The sequence below is a fragment of the Homo sapiens genome, chromosome 4, assembly GCF_000001405.40.
Source record: "Homo sapiens chromosome 4, GRCh38.p14 Primary Assembly".
NCBI classification, from domain to species: domain Eukaryota; kingdom Metazoa; phylum Chordata; class Mammalia; order Primates; family Hominidae; genus Homo; species Homo sapiens.
The window spans coordinates 173,131,235-173,149,845 of NC_000004.12; the positions used below are offsets into that span (position 1 = coordinate 173,131,235).

At 38.3% G+C, this 18,611-nt stretch overlaps 1 long non-coding RNA gene and 1 pseudogene across 2 annotated transcripts in view; one reads left to right on the plus strand and one right to left on the minus strand.

Moving 5' to 3' along the window:
* Window positions 1–698: 698 nt before the first annotated feature.
* GALNT7-DT (GALNT7 divergent transcript) overlaps window positions 699–18,611 on the minus strand; it is a 37,720-nt gene continuing 19,807 nt past the window's right edge. Inside the window, exon 7 of one of the 2 annotated variants that reach the window (NR_134242.1) lies at window positions 699–1,250. This is a non-coding gene — a long non-coding RNA (GALNT7 divergent transcript). Of the gene's footprint in view, window positions 1,251–13,001; window positions 14,278–18,611 lie in introns of those variants that run through there. The other variant, NR_134241.1, reaches the window with a different exon arrangement.
* RN7SL253P (RNA, 7SL, cytoplasmic 253, pseudogene) lies at window positions 10,409–10,704 on the plus strand (annotated as a pseudogene).

An 18,611-nucleotide genomic window follows, 5' to 3' on the forward strand; every position in this document is an offset into this window, starting at 1 on the left:
ATTGAGCTGAGATTGGGCCATTGCACTCCAGCCTGGGCGACAGGGTGAGACTCTGCCTCAAAAACAAAACAAAACAAAAAAACACACACACAACACAATGGAATAACCTGCATCTTTTAGTGTTGTGCAAATGAGATCGCCTCTTTGAGCTCTGAAGGTCAAAAATTATAAAAGGAAACACAACAACAAAATTCATGCAATCAATCCAAGAGCAATTTTACAAAAACCTTGAAAAAAGAGAAAAGCCGTAATTTTCACATAGCCAGTATTCTGAGAAAAGAGGATTTATTTACCTTGGTAGCCACTACATCCTCCACACCTCCTAAAATGCCTGTGCCCCAACATCATTTACGTGGCCAAAGCTGCTTTCAGCTCAACCTCCTGGCCCATGAAAAGGCTGAGAAGTCATAGAAAATGGAGTCACTGGAAACAGAAGTGAGCCATGACCCCACCCAGTCTGCTCTTCTCATAGCACCCTTCTGTAACGAGCGGGCAATTTGTAAAAAGAAAGCCCTTGAAAATCACCTGTTTACGTTCCAGTTCTTTCTCTAAAAACAACCGTGGTCCTTATCTGAATAGATTGACACTGAATTTATGCAGATAATTTACATGAATATTTCAATCTCCATTGATGGAAGTAGAGGTTTATGGGATCTAACCTCAGAGCCTCATTTGTCAAAACAAAAACAGCCATTATTGGGAGCCTCAGAGTAATTTATTCCCATCACAGTATTAAAAATATATGTATCAGGATGCAGCTGTGAGATCAAGGTACCTTCAGGTCCCCTCTCTTGTCAGTCTCTGGAAGGATAAGAAAATGTCCCCACTCTGATCACTGAGTCAGTGTAGAACCACAGTCCCCCGGGTGGGTTCTGTGGGATGGTACTTCTGTGAGAATAACTTAAGTTACACTTTAGCAGGAGCGGCCTGTCCGACCTGCAGCGTTCCGTCAATGGCACACTGGGCAGCAGCTTCATGTTGATGCCCCAGGGTGGGTATATAACTCATCCTCCACAAGGGAGAGGTTTTGAAATACTTCTGATATCAAAACTACCCAGTAGCAGGCTGGCCTCCTCAGCCCCAGAGCTGTTTATCTTGTTTTAGAGATGATGTTTCCATTCTTTCTTTAACATGAAAGCACAGTGGATAGATGGAAGTTTTGAAAACCTGTACCAGAAAGATTTATCAACTAGTCCATTTTATCATCACTTGAGAAGAGTTCAGAAAGTATGCCTTCCAACATGAACAATCTAGAAAAGAAGAGAGTTAAAATAAACTGCTCTCTAGAGGTACTACACTAAAGAAAAACATAAAGACCTATAGTGGCTATTCAGGACCTACTATTTTTGGTTTTGGTGACAAAAAATAATTTGGAATAATATCAGTAGCTAAAATAGTGGATATGCAGAGACTGCAAAATGAAACCACAACACAGATACAATCTGAAAGTAAATGAGCTGTGACTCTTAAAAAATTAAAAATTCTCATACCCAAAAAATGCAATGCTAAGAGAGTTCTCAAATTTTTTTTCTATTCCTACTGTAGTAGATAAAAGGCCGTGTATATTTTACAGAAAGAGAAATCCAACTCACAGGACACCCAGAGAGTAAGAGAGTTGTCAAAGATTACATAGCAAGGTCACTCTTGATTTTCAGACTCTAAACACACTGCTCTGGCCACATTACTGCACTGTTGTTTCAGAGGTCATTTTACATGAAAGCATGTTCTCTTTCATTGCCAAAGAAAAAGAAGTAAAAGATTTCACTAGATATATTGGACCAGGTTTAGGTATTAGAGGAAAAACAAAATCACTGGTTTGTTGTGGTTGACTTAATGCCTTACAGCCTCATTTTCTTAACACTACAAGCCAATAAAATGTTTTACTTTGCACTTTCTTGGAAGCCAGTTGAAAGTCGGCAGATGGTTTCCCAATGGCCTATCAAGGCACTTTTTCTGATCTCCAACTTTGTGATGGATGTGATATAGTTTTAAACCCAAAAATTTTAGGGCAAACTGTGAGGTTAGAAGAAAGAAACAGGTGTTGAGTGATACAGAGATACATAGGATCAAGTTACTTGAAACACCATTTTCATTTTCAATTTTTTTTTTTTTTTACTTGAAAGCCAAGGAAGGGGTTTACTCCCTACAGCGAGGATATTTTGAAGATGAAAATTCAAAGTTGGGGATTTTGGACTAAAGTTGTCTCTCCATCATAGAAAAAGCATGAGTTTTATGGCTTTTGAAGAAGATTAAGCGAGAGATGGGTCTCTGAGAAAGGCCTGTTAGGGATATGAATTGTTAGGATAGAATAGTGCAAGTGTAGCAAATTTCTTTACTCTCTGTGAATGGCATGGAAGGAGATATACAATTGTTTTTGTGGAATTAAAGGCATTCTAAAGATTTATGACTTTTTACATTCATTTTAAGGCATTCTGAAGATTTATGTCTTTTTACATTCATTTTAAGGCATTCTAAAGATTTAGAACTGAAACTGTAAAATATGAGTCAGGCAATGTCTGCTTTTTGCAGCTACTGCAGGGTTTGATTTGCAAATGCATTTGATTTGGAGAAATGGCACTTTGTAATTTATCCACTGGCATAATAGATGATCCAACATTCATTTAGTCCCTTTCCCCATGCTGCTAACAAAATGCATTATGATTTAGTAAAATTACCTGGTATTTGGGGCAGGAAAGGGCCTCGGGAGATTAAAGGTGAGAAGGGGTTATATTGCAGAATGATGTCTTCTAGGAACTAATCTTGCCCTAGGGCAATACAAAATGAGCAACTGGTGAAGGCAGTTACAGAATAGCTCATATTTGCTTTTTTCAGCTGAGTCCAGTAATACTTGATGGTTAGCATTACCAGTACATACACACAACTATATTGCATTTCCCTTGGTTTTGCTTTCATCTTATTTAATATTCCTTCATAACTTTTTACTTAAAACACAGCGTAGAGATGTAGGAAGAAAATCATGTGGGTACATAAATAATTCATGTGCACCTGAAGGCACAAAAATCATGCTAGACAAAAACAAGTAGTAAGAAAGGTGAACAAGAAGTTAAATCTAAATGTTGTTAGACGGGAAAAAACACCCCAGTGTAAATCTAACTGAAGGAGTCTGAAATTTAATAAAAAGTGACATGGCTCTCTCAATGAGAATGTATGTAACCTTAATCTTTGGCCCACATCAGGGCAATTAAACTAATTCATCAGGGATTGTCTTGAGTTTGAATAATTTTAGTGTCTAGAAGATTGTTAATCTTAAGATACAGAACTATCAGCTCAATATAAAGATTTCCAACTCCATTTACAGAGTGTTCTTCTTTGCCTTCTAAGATAATTTTCTGAACTATGCCCACGCTTCTTAGGAGCATGCCAATCCACTTGCAGACTTCAGTGGCAGTAGCAGTATGTCTCCAGACTTTAGAATTAGAGGTTCCAGCACTGACTAAAAGATAGTAACTACTTTTTAAAGATAATATGTGTATTTAAAACGTAAAACATACTTTCAGGGAAAACAATTTTAATAGCCTTAGGTTTGATGAGGCTTTACAAAGCATTTAACCATGTTGTATATACTTTAGAGGGATATTTAATAGATTAATATTCATTAGTTTATTTTCTCAATGTATTGAAGCAAGTACACCAACAGAAAAACAATGCACAGTAACCTAAAATCTCAAAGAAATGTAAGTGCACAGGTATAAAAGGCAGCAAAGCTACCTTTTTACATATTAGTGTTATACTTCCTTAGGTATGTATTTCCTTTAATTCTATATACTGATAAACTAATGATACTAATAATGGTTAACATTTAATACTATGTCAGGCACTATGCTGAGTATTTTACAAGATCTATCCCATTTTCCCATTTAATCCCCCCAACAACCCTATCAGTTACCACCAATGTATAGGTGAGGGAATGTAGTACAGATGAGGGAATCTGGATAAGAAACTTGCACAATAATTAATGCCACTAATGACAGAATTATCTGCAATCCAGATCCACTAAAATTTCTCTCTGACTTCAATCATTCTTCTTTATAATGAAAGATACTTGCAGCCAAGGAAAAGGAGATCATTTGCAAGTGACTGAAAGGCCACATCCCTATCTAGAATTTTCTTCTCTGTAACGGTTAAGATTCTCTCTCTCTCTCTCTCTCTTTCTGTCTCAAGAGATGGTGACTCACTCTGCTGCCCAGGCTGGAGTGCAGTGGTATGATCCTAGCTCACTATAGCCTGGAACTCTTGGGCTCAAGTGATCCTCCCACCTCTGCCTCCCAAGTAGCTGAGACAACAGGCACAGACCACTATGCCTGGCTATTTTTTTTTTTTTTTGGTAGAGATGGGATCTCACTATGTTGTCCAGGCTGGTCTTGATCCTGGACTCAAGCAATCCTCCTGCCTCGACCTCCCAAAGTGCTGGGATTATAGGCGTGAGCCACCATGCCTGGCCTAGGTTTGTCTCATAATTATCCTTGGTTTGGGGAATAAAGAATAAAGGAAACAGTCACTGCAAGTCCAGAATCATTTCAGACTCCTCACAGGACTGGAGGTTGAATGGGGCACCAATTGCTTGGCTGGAAGGAAGTAAAGAGGAGAAAGGGAGAGATGGGGCAAAGGCAGAGAAGACAGTGGTGGAGACAGCAGCAGTGATGTTACCTGGCTCTACGATTTCTCTTTACTGATCAGTAGCCAGCCCTTTATTTAATTTTCCTGTGCTCTGTCCAGGACAAAAGTGTGCTTCCTAGAAAACCCTTGATTTATTAGAGGAGATGTATTCTAAAACAAAAATTGAAAGGGTGTCTATGAAAGAGATTGTGGGAAGATGAAAAGGGCATTTCCTCCCCCAAAATGTAGTAAAACACAGGAGGAAATTTGAAAATAAATATAATATTTATCTTACACACACAACAGAATCACATTAAAATTGCCTTAAACCATTGTCTATAGTAGGGTAATCTAATGATTCTAAGATTTCTTGTTAATTGATGTCCATTCACTTTGAGAAGGATTGAGGAAAGTAATAGAGCCTCTTTATTATACTGCAACCTTGCTGATGATGGAGGTTTGGGATTGTATTTTGATTTTTGAGAATGTATGCATTTCTGACCAGGTCTTGGAAGCTCCAAAATAATAGGGCAGTCTTCAAAGAAAGGCACTTGTAAACTCTTTGGAGAACTATTGAGCCTTTTATCTTGGAAGTCAGCTCTTTATCCACATGCAATTAGTCTAAAATACAAATCCTTCCTGAGAAAGTTCATGTAAAAGAAACAGTATTTCTAACAGATTTGTCTCATGCTTTTTACTTACTATAACATCATACTGGAAGTTGGAAGCAAAGTCAGGGGTCATCCAAATAGGAGTTTCTTCTAAAACTCCCTAAGAAGTAGTCATGTGCTAAACACCATCTGTGGTAGAGAATTCTACCTTCATAAGATAGTCATTTCTTCATTATTCTGAAATAGAGTCTGTCCCCCTTCATTATTCCACTCATAGGTAAGAGATCAACTTCTTGGAGCATCAGAAATTTCTAATCTCTCTGCCACCTAGCAGTCCTTTTACATTTGAAGACAGGTGTACATATAGAAGCCCTTTCTGTCTTGCTATTTTGCAGAGAAAATAACATGGGATTTGGGGTCAGTCCTAGATTCAAAATCCAGCTCACCATAAAGCACTTACACAAACCTAGATACAATATTAAATGTCTCTAAGTCTCTGTTTCCTTAATGAGAAAGCAGAGAAAATAACACCATCCCATTTTATTGATAAATGGATTAATGAGTTCATATATGCAAAGTGCCTTACATTAGAGGTGCTGGATTAATTGTGGCCTGTATAATGACTAATTCTGTGGCTTCTGTTTCCCTCGCCCATCCCAGCTGGTTTTCTACTGACACAATAGACTACAGCTTCTCAAACTGGGTGTTACAAGTGTGCCAACATATTATTTTCTGTGAGTGTCATGGCATTGGGGTGTGCATGAGAGAAAGCATTATAATCATTTTATGTTGTTTCCTGAGTATTACAGATTTTTTAGAATAAAAAAGTCTCTCTCCTTTGTCATAAAAATATTCTCTCATTATCAACATTTAAAGAGCAACTAAGAGAAATTTGTTAGTTCTTGACAGCGTCTTAGTCCCCCAGCCCTGAGATAAGCAAAGCCTTTTTTACCCATTTGTATCTTACAAATATTACCATTTTCTGGGGTCACCAGGATGGAAAAAGAAAGTTAGAAACACTGCACTAAAATGTATTAATATCAGTCTTTCCTGCTGTGTGGTACTATATTTAACTAAGTGTTATACTCCAAAAAACTAAGAGTAGAATGAATTATGTTCTTCATTTATCCTGGATCTGACACCTCCATTATTGCAGCCTAAAATGGCATTTGGGTTTTAGGAGAGCCACATCAGACTGTTAATTCACATTGACCTTGCAGTTAATGAGTACTTTTAGCAGAAATGCAGATTCATTCATTTAAAAAAATATGTATTTTTGAGGTACTTATAATGTGCACTATTCTAAGCAGTAAGGATGTAGTTTCTAACAATATCAACAAGATTTCTTCCTTTATAAAAATAAAAATAAAAATGCAATTTTAAATAAAGTCAAAGGAATCTACAGTATCATTTGAATGTCTTTTTAAAAAGGAATAAAAGGACTCCCAAGTTGCTGCCTTGGCTAATTTCTGATCAGGAGAATAAATACCAGAGCCCAAATGGGATAGGAATAACTGCTTTAAAAAAATAAACTAGGCTAGGCACGGTGGCTCACCCCTATAATCCCAGCACCTTGGAAGGCTGAGGCGGGCGGATCACCTGAGGTCAGGAGTTGAAGACCAGCCTGGCCAGCATGGTGAAACCCCGTCTCTACCAAAAATACAAAAAATTAGCTGGATGTGGTGGCGGGCGCCTGTAATCCCAGCTACTCGAGAGGCTGAGGCAGGAGAATCACTTGAACCCAGGAGGTGGAGGTTGCAGTGAGCCAGGATCGTGCCATTGCACTCCAGCCTGGGCAACAAGAGTGAAACTCCGTCTCTAAATAAATAAATAAATAAATAAACTAATATGTTTCCTGTTCATTTAGTATAAATAAATGCAGAAGGACGCACAATAGGCTGCCTGACATTCTTTCAGCCAGTGTGTATTGTAATATGCAACATCTGTCCTACTTGAGCAGGCACGATTTTGTAGTATTCAAATTAATTGACACAATTTGGGATAGCTTTCTCATAGCAACTACTAGTGGTTCTTTCGATAAAGCAAAGCAGAATTGAGACAGAGAACCTGTCTTTATTTCACTCTTGATTATGACGTCTAAAAATCAGATAGATGCTTGCATACTTTTGCACATGGCATTGTGACAGGACACACTAGGTTGTGACACAGTGACAAACCCCAAAATCTCAGCAGCCCAAAACACAAATTTTAACTATTTCTTGCTATGCTGTATTTCTTTTGCAAGTCGGAAGCAGGACTTTGCCTTTGGTAATTGTTCAGGGATCTTGGCTGGCCAAGCAACTGCCATCTTAAATGTTATTCATCACAAAGCCAGAGGGAAAAACAGATGCAGTGAAGCAGATGCTGTCTCTTAAAGCTTTCACTGTCTCTAGACAGAGAAATTAATTGCCACACCTAATTCCAAGTGCACAGCAAAGTACAATCCTCCCATGTGTTGAGAAAGAGAGACAGTCTGGGATTTGTAAACCACCATATGATGACCAGAGGAGCACAAATTGTATTCTTTCCTCCCAAATTACTATCAGAATTAGAATGCTAATTGGATTCTTCCCTCCCAAAGTAATACTACTTTAGGGTCTTCTGAATCTTACTTTGACAATTATTCTAATATGACTATTGGTGCAATTTTAATAGTGCATTAAATTTAGGAAGTTCTTATATTATCTGTCAGTTGCCATCATAAATCTGGAGTGTATGTATTCTCTAATTAGATATTTCACTTTTTTAATGTCAAAGAAGTAAATCATTTTATCCTTTTGGAATAGAGTAATATTGATGTAAAGTACTGACTTAGGTCTCTGAGAGGTATAAATAAATCTGGAATGATGTGGGGGCATTTATGGTTTTTTAATAAATTAGGATTTAGGAATTTATCAACTGTGGGTGGTTTTGGTTGGCCTGAATGGTGACACTGGCAGAATATTTTTGTGAACTGTTCTGCTTTAGTGTTGGATATGGTACTACTGGAGTCCTTATAAAGTGAAACACTGTCTGGAACTCAGTTTGAAAGAAGTATCTGGCTAATAGTCTGTTTGGGCATGTCTTTATTTTATAAAAATTCTGTTGCAAATAAAATTGTATTTTTTTAATACTGTTCACCTCTAAAGAGTGTGGCTTTGATCTTCCTTTCCTGAATTCCTACAGGCTTTGTGGCTAGTGCCTGTTTTGTTTGTTGATGCTCTATTGCTCACACATTGGATAGAAGTGAATATTTTTCTCTTATTCTTTGTTTAATACAGAAGGCTGCACTGCGCACTCTCATCTGTTACTTGAATGCATCTCAAACAGTCTTTCAGAACTCCCACATGAGGATGACAATGAAAGTAGTCAGTAATTGTTGATGAAAGCTTTGTAACTTCTGCATCATGTAACAATATTGAATTGTTAAGAACAAAAGCTAGTCCCTTGACCTCCTTTGCATTCTGAGACGGTTTACAGGAAATTCAGGTATGGCCAAGGTTTTGTTATTCTTCCAACTTAGCAAATGCAATATAAGACAGAACTTGATAAAAAATTAACAAGATAATCTGACAAACTGAATATGTATATGACCAGTAAATATTCTCTCTTACTGATAGGTTTGGTGTTATGTCCCTGAGATATTCTAGAACTGAACTTGTTGAAGAAGATTTACTCATCTTTGCATTTATTATTGCAGTAAAGTCTCCATAAATTATCCATTGTTTATTATAAAATGTTTATTTTTTGGAAGGCCTGAGTTATAAACACTTATTTCTTGGGAGCATAAACTGAATCTAATGGTTTGTTCAGATTATTTATTACCTAGCCCATCCATTTTGATACAACTCACAAAAATACTACAGTGCAAAAAAAGAGAACAATAATTGAGAAAATTCAGGATATAAGGAAAACATTAATGAGAAAAATGCAGCTATGACAGCCATTAAAACTGAGAATCAAAAATTGATACTGCAGCCACATCTCTGATGCTTTGCATTACTAAGATTGCACCAAAACTTCAAAAATCACGAAGCTTATTAAATCACATTGCTCTTCCTTTAATTTTAACAAGAATTAAAAATTCTTATTAATAATATATTTAAGAGCAAACATGTTTTTGTTCTTGAATAAATAATGTAAAATAATTATTATATCTTTATTATAGTCTTTTAAATATTTTAATTATGAGTAATATGGTATCAAGGTAGTACCTGTGTATAATAAATACCTCTGGAGGCTACTGATAGCAGAGAGCACAACTCTAGGGAAAGCCTGACTATTAACTTTTGTTCTAAATAGTGAGGGTAGGGGCATGAATAGATTTATATTTTGGTGACTGTGAGGAAGATGAATCCAAGGGGTAAGACCAGTTAGACAGTGACAGTAATACCCCAGATTAGAAATAATAAGGACATGGGGCAAAGAACAAATACAAAAGGAAAGTGGGGGCAAGTTCAAGAAATATTTAAGGGGGAAATCAATGATTTAATAGATATAACAATTGTCTTCATTTTGCAAATTGTATCCAGGCCAACTTCCCAACGTGTAGACTCCATACACATTTCTAAAATATTTTGTCATGAGATACATCACACATGCAAAGGGTTTAGAGTATATATATGCACAACTTAAAGAATAACAATAACACGAACAACCTTGCTTTTCTACCTTGCTTCAACTTAAGACAGGGAATATTATGAGAAACTTAGAAGCCCCTGGCGGCCCCTCACCAGTCAGAGCTGCCTTTCTTCTTCTAGAGCTAACCACTATGCTGAAACTTGTATTAAGCATTCTTTTGCTTTCCTTAGGATTTTACCATTTGTATTATATATAAAAAAGGTATCTCTAAACAACATATCGCTTAATTTTGCCTGCTTTTATGTATCTATTAATATACAAAATTGATATACAAATACAACCATGTTTTGATATACCAATTAATGATATACCAGCACAACTATATTTTGTGTATTACTGTGATACATTTCTTTTGTTTTGCCTTAGGTTTGTGAGCCATCTGTGTTGACATATGTGATTGTAGTGGAATAATATTTGTTACTTAATACCTTCCAGTGTATGATTATACAACAGATTATATATCCATCCTCCTGTTGATGAGTGCTTCTAACTTTCTGCTATTAAGCATAACACCCTATCTACCAGTTAAGACTGGTTGTAACAAAATAAAGAAGAATGCTGCCACATGCTGTGGTGCATGCCTGTAGTCCCAGCTACTGGGAGGCTGAGGCAGGAAGATCTCTTAAGCCCAGGAGTTCTGCACTGTAGTGCGCTATGCCAATCAGGTGTTTGCACCAAGTTCAGCATCAGTATGGTGACCTCCAGGGAGTGGAGGACCACCAGGTTGCCTAAGGCGGAGTGAACCAGCCCAGGTCGGAAACAGAGCACGTCAAAACTTCCGTGCTGATCCGTACTGGGATCACGCCTGTGAACAGCCACTGCACTCCAGCCTGGGTGATATGGTTTGGCTGTGTCCCCACCCAAATCTCATTTTAAATTGTGGTTCCCACAATCCCCATGTGTCATGGAGGGACCCCATGGGAGGTAACTGAATCACGGTGGAGGTTACCTTCATGCTGTTCTCATGATAGTGAGTTCTCACCAGATCTGATGGTTTTATAAGAAGCTTTCTCCTTATTTGCTCAGCACTTCTCCTTGCTGCTGCAATGTGAAGAAGGCTGTGTTTGCTTCCCCTTCTGCCATGATTGTAAGTTTCCTGAGGCCTCCCTAACCATGCTGAACTCTGAGTCAATTAAACCTCTTTCCTTTAAAATTACCCAGTCCCACGTATGTCTTTACTAGCAGCGTGAGAACAGACTAATTCACTGGACAATATAGTGAGCCTTGTCTCTAAAAAAAATTCTTGGGAAGCTGAGGCAGGCAGATCACTTGAGGCCAGGGCTTTGAGATCAGCCTGGCCAACATGGCAAAATCCTGTCTCTACTGAAAATACAAAAATTAGCCAGGTGTGTTGGCACGGGTTTGTAATCCCAGCTACTCAGGAGGCTGAGATATGAGAATCACTTGAACCTGGGAGGTATAGGTTGTAGTGAGCTGAGATCATGCCACTGCACTCCAGCCTGGGTGACAGAGCAAGACTCTGTCTTAAAAAAAAAAAAAAAAAAAAAAAAGCCCTATTAACATTCTTCAACATGTCTCCTATTCAATTTGTGCAAGATACAGTACACCTAAATGTGAAATTATTGTGTCACGGGTTATGCATATATACTACTTTACTAGGCAATGCAAAATTTCTCTACAAAGGGAATGTACTAGCTTCCACCTCTGTCAGTAATGACAGTTCCCCTTGCTTAATATCCTCAATAACACTTAGTGTTATAAGAGTTTTCTAGGCTGGGCGCGGTGGCTCACGTCTGTAATCTCAGCACTTTGGGAGGCCAAGATGGGTGGACTGCCTGAGGTTGGGAGTTCAAGACCAGCCTGGCCAACATCGTGAAACCCCGTCTCTACTAAAAATACAAAAATTAGCTGGGCATGGTGGCGGGCGCCTGTAATCCCAATTACTCGGGAGGCTGAGGCAGGAGAATTGCTTGAACCTGGGAGGCAGAGGTTGCAGTAAGCCGAAGTCACGCCACTGCACTCCAGCCTGGGAGACAGAGCGAGAATCTGTCTCAAAAAAAAGACTTTTCCTTGTTTTTTGTTGACATAATTATTATATCATTGTCTTTTATTTGCATCTCGTTGATTACTGTGTGGCTCAGCACTTTTTCCAAGGTTTATGGCCATTTGTATTACTTCTCCGAAATGTCTTTTCATATCTTTTGTCCATTTTTTTTTTTACTGGGTTACATGTATTTGTGAGAATTCTTTCTATTCTAGATAGTAATCCATTGTCAGTTATATGCATTACAAATGTCTATTTCTAGTTTATCTTTTCACATTCATTAAGCTGTATTTTGTTTACTTCATAACGTAATCAAATTTTCTAATATTTTTCTTTTCATCCGTTTCACACAAGAAATAACCCAAATCAACTCCTTCAGTTTTACTTGATGATATTTCTATTTGTTCATTCACATATAAATATTAATGTATGTATAATATGGAAAATAGCCTTTACATGTTAAGAGGGAAAAAAATGACATACTATCTTACCCTTCACAATAACCATGCTATTATACTGACCACTCATTACATAATTTACCAGAAAATTATGCAGAAGTAGCATAAGTCTTTCCAACATTAATGCAAAGACATTATCACTGATTTTGATTTTGAGATGTGGTCTCAGGTAAAGTGATAATTGTATTAAAACTAATCTTTTTTTCAAATGCATTCCAAGATCTCAATTTTCTCCCTCAAATATTACCATAAAAACTGATGTCTTAGCCCACACAATCCTTTCTATCAAATTCCTCACAACCAGGCTTTGGATAGAGGGAATTTCTAAGCCCTGCTGTGGCCGTCTCCACCTGCTCTTCCACGCCATTCCTCCTTCTTCCATGCGCACACTTATATCTCTAAGAACCTATCTCACGAATCAATATTCTACCTCTGTTAGCTCAACTCTCCGAGTCATTCTAGTTGAGGAAAAAAGAGTGGGAAAGTAAAATTACCACTGTGGTCAAGATTAAGACAACTTAAACCAGAAGCTGAATTCCAACCTCTGTGAAGCATGAAGAACACCGAGAAACACAGGCTGCTAGGAATTACTGCCTTGACTCTACCTTGAGATTTCAGCCTTTCCAGTTCCCTTATATCTAGTAAAGCATCATTAATTTGGGGCTTCACTAATTCAAAAATTGTTAAGAGTTCACACAGGTACTCTGTTGAAGTTTAATTTTACACTAAGAATAATGACAGATTGCAAACAATACTAGTAGCATTAGGAGGATATTCACTATAAAAAACCTTATCTTCACAATACATATAAAGAGGATAGTCACAAAAAATGTATCTTCATAATATATAAGGGGGATAGTCACAAAAAAAGATCTTCAAGTACTGCAAAAGAACTTGTTTGTTTACAATATTATGCTTAAAATATATGTTACAGTCCCTCTCAGGAAATTCTAAGCAGTCATTACATTATTACACATTGCTAGAAGGAAATGATAGTTTTCAGACTAATTTGAAGTAGCTTTTCTCCCAAAGATTTCCAAAATATTTTTTAATAAACACAAACACATTGCAATACTGTTTAGTGCATTTAATAAAATGGAAAATAGTACACTAGTACTGTGATTATACTTTAGTTTCAAGAGATAATTGTTAATATACATGTATATATTTTAGATAGGGTCTCACTCTGTTGCTCAGGCTGGATTGAGATGGTATGATTTTGACTCACTGCAGCCTGGCCTCCCAGGCTCAATTGATCCTCCCACCTCAGCTTCCCAAGTAGCTGGGACTACAGGCACACACGACCATGCCTGGCTAATTTTTGTATTTTTTGTAGAGACAGGGTTTTGTCATGTTGCCCAGGTTGGCCTCAAACTCCTGAGTTAAAGCAATCCAACCGCCTTGGCCTCCCAAACTGATTATTAATTTTAAAATGTCCGTTGGTAACCACTCTTAACATATTTTACCCGTAGAGAATTTTTCTGAAGAAAAATAATTAACATAGAAACAGAAATGTCAAAATTTGTCTAATTATCTAATTTACTCATTACTGACCCATACTGGTTTTATTGATTTTATTTATATGCTATGTGTTTTAATTATCTATTGTATAATAAATTACCCCAAAACTTAGCAGCTTAAAACAACAAACATGTATTATCTTACATGGTTTCTGAGAGTTAGTTCTCTGGGGGTGGCTAAGCTGGGTGGCGCTGGCTTGGCTGTCATTGCAGCTGTTGTCTCGACTGAAGGCTGAGGGAGGATCCACTTCCAGGCTTTCTCCATGGTTGTTGGCAGGCCTCAGTTACTTGCCTGAGTTCTCAGGCTGGAGTCCTCAGTTCCTTAGCAAATGAGACTCCAGAGGCTGTTTGAGTGTCCTCTCATATGACAGTTTGCTTCCCCACAGCAAATGATCCAAGAGAGAAAGAGTGTGACTGCCTACGATGGAAGCCATGGTCTTGATGACCTAACAACATACCATATGACATATCATCACTTCTGCTCAGTTCTACTGCTCGCATAGACCAACCCTGGCACAAAGTGGGAAGGGACTTCACAAGCATGTGGATACCAAGACACAGGGTGTGAATACCAGGAGGCGGAGATCACTGGGATCCATTTTGGGGCTTTGCTAACACACTATGATTTTTTAAAAGAAGAATACAAAAAAAAGGGAAGAAAACACAATATGGGGGAAGGAAATGTTCACTCAGAAGGTCCAGAAACACATTCAAATATATATAAAAATACTGTATACTAAAGAATGGTCTCTATATATTTGAGTATGTTTCTGGGCTTTATTTTTATTTTATTTATTTATTTATTTATTTTTGAGACGGAGTCTCACTCTGTCGCCCAGGCTGGAGTGCAATGGCACGATCTCGGCTCACTGCAACCTCCGCCTCTGGGTTCAAGCAATTCCCCTGCCTCAGCCTCCCGAGCAGCTGGGATTACAGGCGAACACAACCACACCTGGCTAATTTTTTGTATTTTAGTAGAGAGGGGTTTCACCGTGTTGCCCAGGCTGGTCTTGAACTCCTGAGCTCAGGCAATCCACCCACCTTGGACTCCCAAAATGCTAGGATTACAGGCGTGAGCCACTGTGCCCAGGCTTTATTTTTATTTTTTGAGATAGGGTCTCACTCTATCACACAGGCTGGAGTGCAATGGTGCAGTCACAGATCACTATAGCCTTGACCTCCCATGCTCAAGTAACCCTCCCACCTCAGCCTCCTGAGTAGCTGGCACTACAGACAATGTGCCACCTCACCTGGTGAATTTTTTGAGACAGTCTCCCTCTGTCACCTAGGCTGGAGTGCAATGGTGCGATCTCGGCTCACTGCAACCTCCACCTCCCTAATTCAAGCAATTCTCTTGCCTCAGCCTCCCAAGTACCTGGGACTACAGGCGTGCACCACCGCGCCCAGCTAATTTTTGTGTTTTTAGTAGAGATGGGATTTCACCATGTTGGCCAGGCTGGTCTCAAACTCCTGACCTTGTGATTCACCCCCTTGGCCTTACAGGCGTGAGCCACTGCACCGGGCCATCTGGTGAATTTTTTAAATCTTTTGTAGAGACAAGGTCTCTCTATGTTGCCCAGGCTGGCCTTGAGCAATCCATGTGCTCAGGTGATCAAGTGATCTCACTATGTTGCCCAACTCCTGGTCTCAAGTGATCTGCCTTGGTCTCAAAGTGCTGGGATTACAGGTATAAGCCACCATGCCCAACTCATTTCTGGGCTATTTCAGTCCATTGATCTGGCTATTACAGCATCACCATTATACTGGTTTTGATTATTATATTATTAAAACGTAGTATCTGGTAGAAGAAAAAGAGAAGAAAATTTTAATTTTTAACAATAACAAAAGTGTAATTTAAAAAAAAAACTTTGCAACAGCTTTTTTTGTTTGTTTGTTTGAGATGGAGTCTTGCTCTGTTGCCCAGGCTGGAGTGCAGTGGTGTGATCTCGGCTCACTGCAACCCCTACCTCCCAGGTTCAAGCGATTCTCCTGCCTCAGCCTCCCAAGTAGCTGGGATACAGGCATGCACCACCATGCCTGGCTAATTTTTGTATTTTTAGTAGAGATGGGGTTTTACCATGTTGCCAGGCTGGTCTCGAACTCCTGACCTCAAGTGATCCGCCTGCCTCGGCCTCCCAAAGTGCTGGGGTTACAGGCATGAGCCACTGCACCCGGCCTTTATAACAGTTTTATGCTCAAATAATCAATTCTGTTCTCCTCTTTTTGCCAAATTCATTAATTTCAAAAAAGTGGTTATCAACAATTTCTGAAAAAAATCATTTATTAAATTTGGAAATGGAATGCAGGATAATAATGCTCAATAATCAAGGGGAAAATGTTGTGAATGGAATAAATGAACTATTGGATCCCAGGGGCCAGTCGAGAAATATGTCAGGGGAAATGTGATACAGATATACAGAATTTGCTTGAAGAAAAAAATGGATGGTAGCGAGGTACTCAACCACGTTGGATCCCTGATATATTGGTTTGGTAACTTTTTGTTTATGTCTGGCACTTCTATCATAGGGTATTACTATTACCATATTCACCTCCACAGGGAGTTATATGGAATTAGTGGCAAACTATAAAGCGAAGATATCTGCTTTCTCATTCTCCTACCCACCATCTTCCTTTACCAACTGTATCATTTATCACGTATTAACTGCAATGATAAAAACTAAAGCATCTGGGTATAATGCAAAATAGGTTAATTTCTTGCTCAAGTCACAGTCCAATGCAAGTTTAGTGGGAGGAAGAGAGGTAAAACTATTCTGCACACGCCCTCAGCATGCCTTTCCCATCCCCCTAGACCTCAGCCTTTCCCTGAATTCTGTGCATAGTATGGGCAGATAAGACAGAACTTGGCTGGGCATGGTGACTCATGCCTGTAATCCCAGCACTTTGGGAGGCCAAGGCGGGTGGATCACCTGAGGTCAGGACCAGCCTGGCCAACATGGTGAGACCCTATCTGTACTAAAAATATAAAAACTAGCTGGGCGTGGTGATGGGCGCCTGTAATCCCAGCTACTTGGGAGGCTGAGGCAGGAGAATTGCTTGAACCCAGGAGATGGAGGTTGCAGTGAGCCGACACGGTGCCACTGCCCGGCAGCCTCGGTGACAGAGTGAGACTCCATCTCAAAAAAAAAAAAAAAAAAAATGACAGAACTTTGTGGACTATGCAAGATGAATTTTAGGGACCAGGCCTGCAAGTGTTGCACATCATTTCCATTAGTTAGAACTCAGTGACGGGACCCCACCAAGGGCATTTGGGAAATGTACTAAAGCTGTGTGTCCAGAAAAAAAAAAAGATGGGAGTTTGGTGAACATGCAGTATCTCTATATATTGCCCCATTAGTCTACCTGGAGGATGAGTGTGGGCTCTGATGAGAATGTTAAATCCCAATAACTAGTCCTTCAATGTATACTTTTCTTGTATTTTATGCTTTGAAACAGTTATCCTTCAAATTTATAGAAATAAGAGACTTCACTGAATCTTAAAGCTACCTAATAAGCTCTGAGCTTGGTGGTAGACAATAGGCTCAGAATGAAGGGAAAGGACTCGTTTGGAGCTTCTGTGAGTTATTGAGAGAGGTTGTGCTATTATTAAAATCACTTGTGCTCACATTCTGAGTGTTCAATAAATGCAAGTTTATGGCAACTCTAAATGGCAAAGTTCCTCTTTTGATGTTCTGATCCAAAAGTATGAGAATGTATATTTAAAATGATGTAGAGTTTTTTTTTAATTGTCTACTTGCCCTAGGCAGGTGTGAATTCTTATTCATAGCACCTTCTCTGTGCAATTGACATTTTTAAAACCTATCAAGTAAATCTTCACTTTAAAATTTACATATGTAATTCTATGAATTCAACAGTCACTTGAGACTATTTGAAGAAAAGAGAAATGTAATGAAAAATTCTGATTTCTAATGCTGAGATTTAAAAATTAAAGAAGCAAAATAAGTCTCAAGCCTCAAAACCAACAGATTAGAACTGCTATTTTCCCTAACCCTTGATTGATTTACTTTGGTTATTAAGCATTAAATGACTTATGAAATCAGACATCACTTATTTCTTTGCAATCATTTATCTAATTGACCTATTTCTAGGCAAGAGACATAATTCTAGTCACTTGGTAGGCTTTATATGGGCAATTGGTGGCTGAAATTTTATTTCTGGCTCAATTAAGGAATTTAAATACACTATTTCCTCTTGATAACGTATCTAATTTAGGATCTTCTCAATCATTAGGTTATGTCATAGGATTTTATTTAGATTGCATTAACTATTAACCTTCTGTTTTCCCAAACTTGGTTAAAAATAATTCTGATTTGTTGTACAATTCTACCTATATTTCACTTTGCCTTATCTCTGTGCTCCCAAATTGCTGCTTCCCAAATTTTCCTTCTTTTATTATACATGTACCATAAAAAGCTTCAGAGGTAGCTATGTTAATCCTTCCTTCCTCCCTTCCTTCCTTCCTTCCTTTCCTTCCTTCCATCTTTTTTTTTTTAAACAGAAAAATTCACCACAGTGAATCATGGCAGTAATCTTCCTTGATAAGTTCATAATGTGAGCCATTGTAGCATCAAATTAAAGATACCTAGAAAAGCAGTGTTTTTAGGCAATTCTAATCAAAGAGAGTATTTGAAAATACTAATAAAGTATGACCTTCAATTTTTTGTTAAAAGTATTAGTGAGAAGAATGGTTAAGAAAAAGAAACACCTTCTGTAACTATTCATTATGCCATCAGATTCTCCAAGCTCTAAGTGCTCTAAGGGC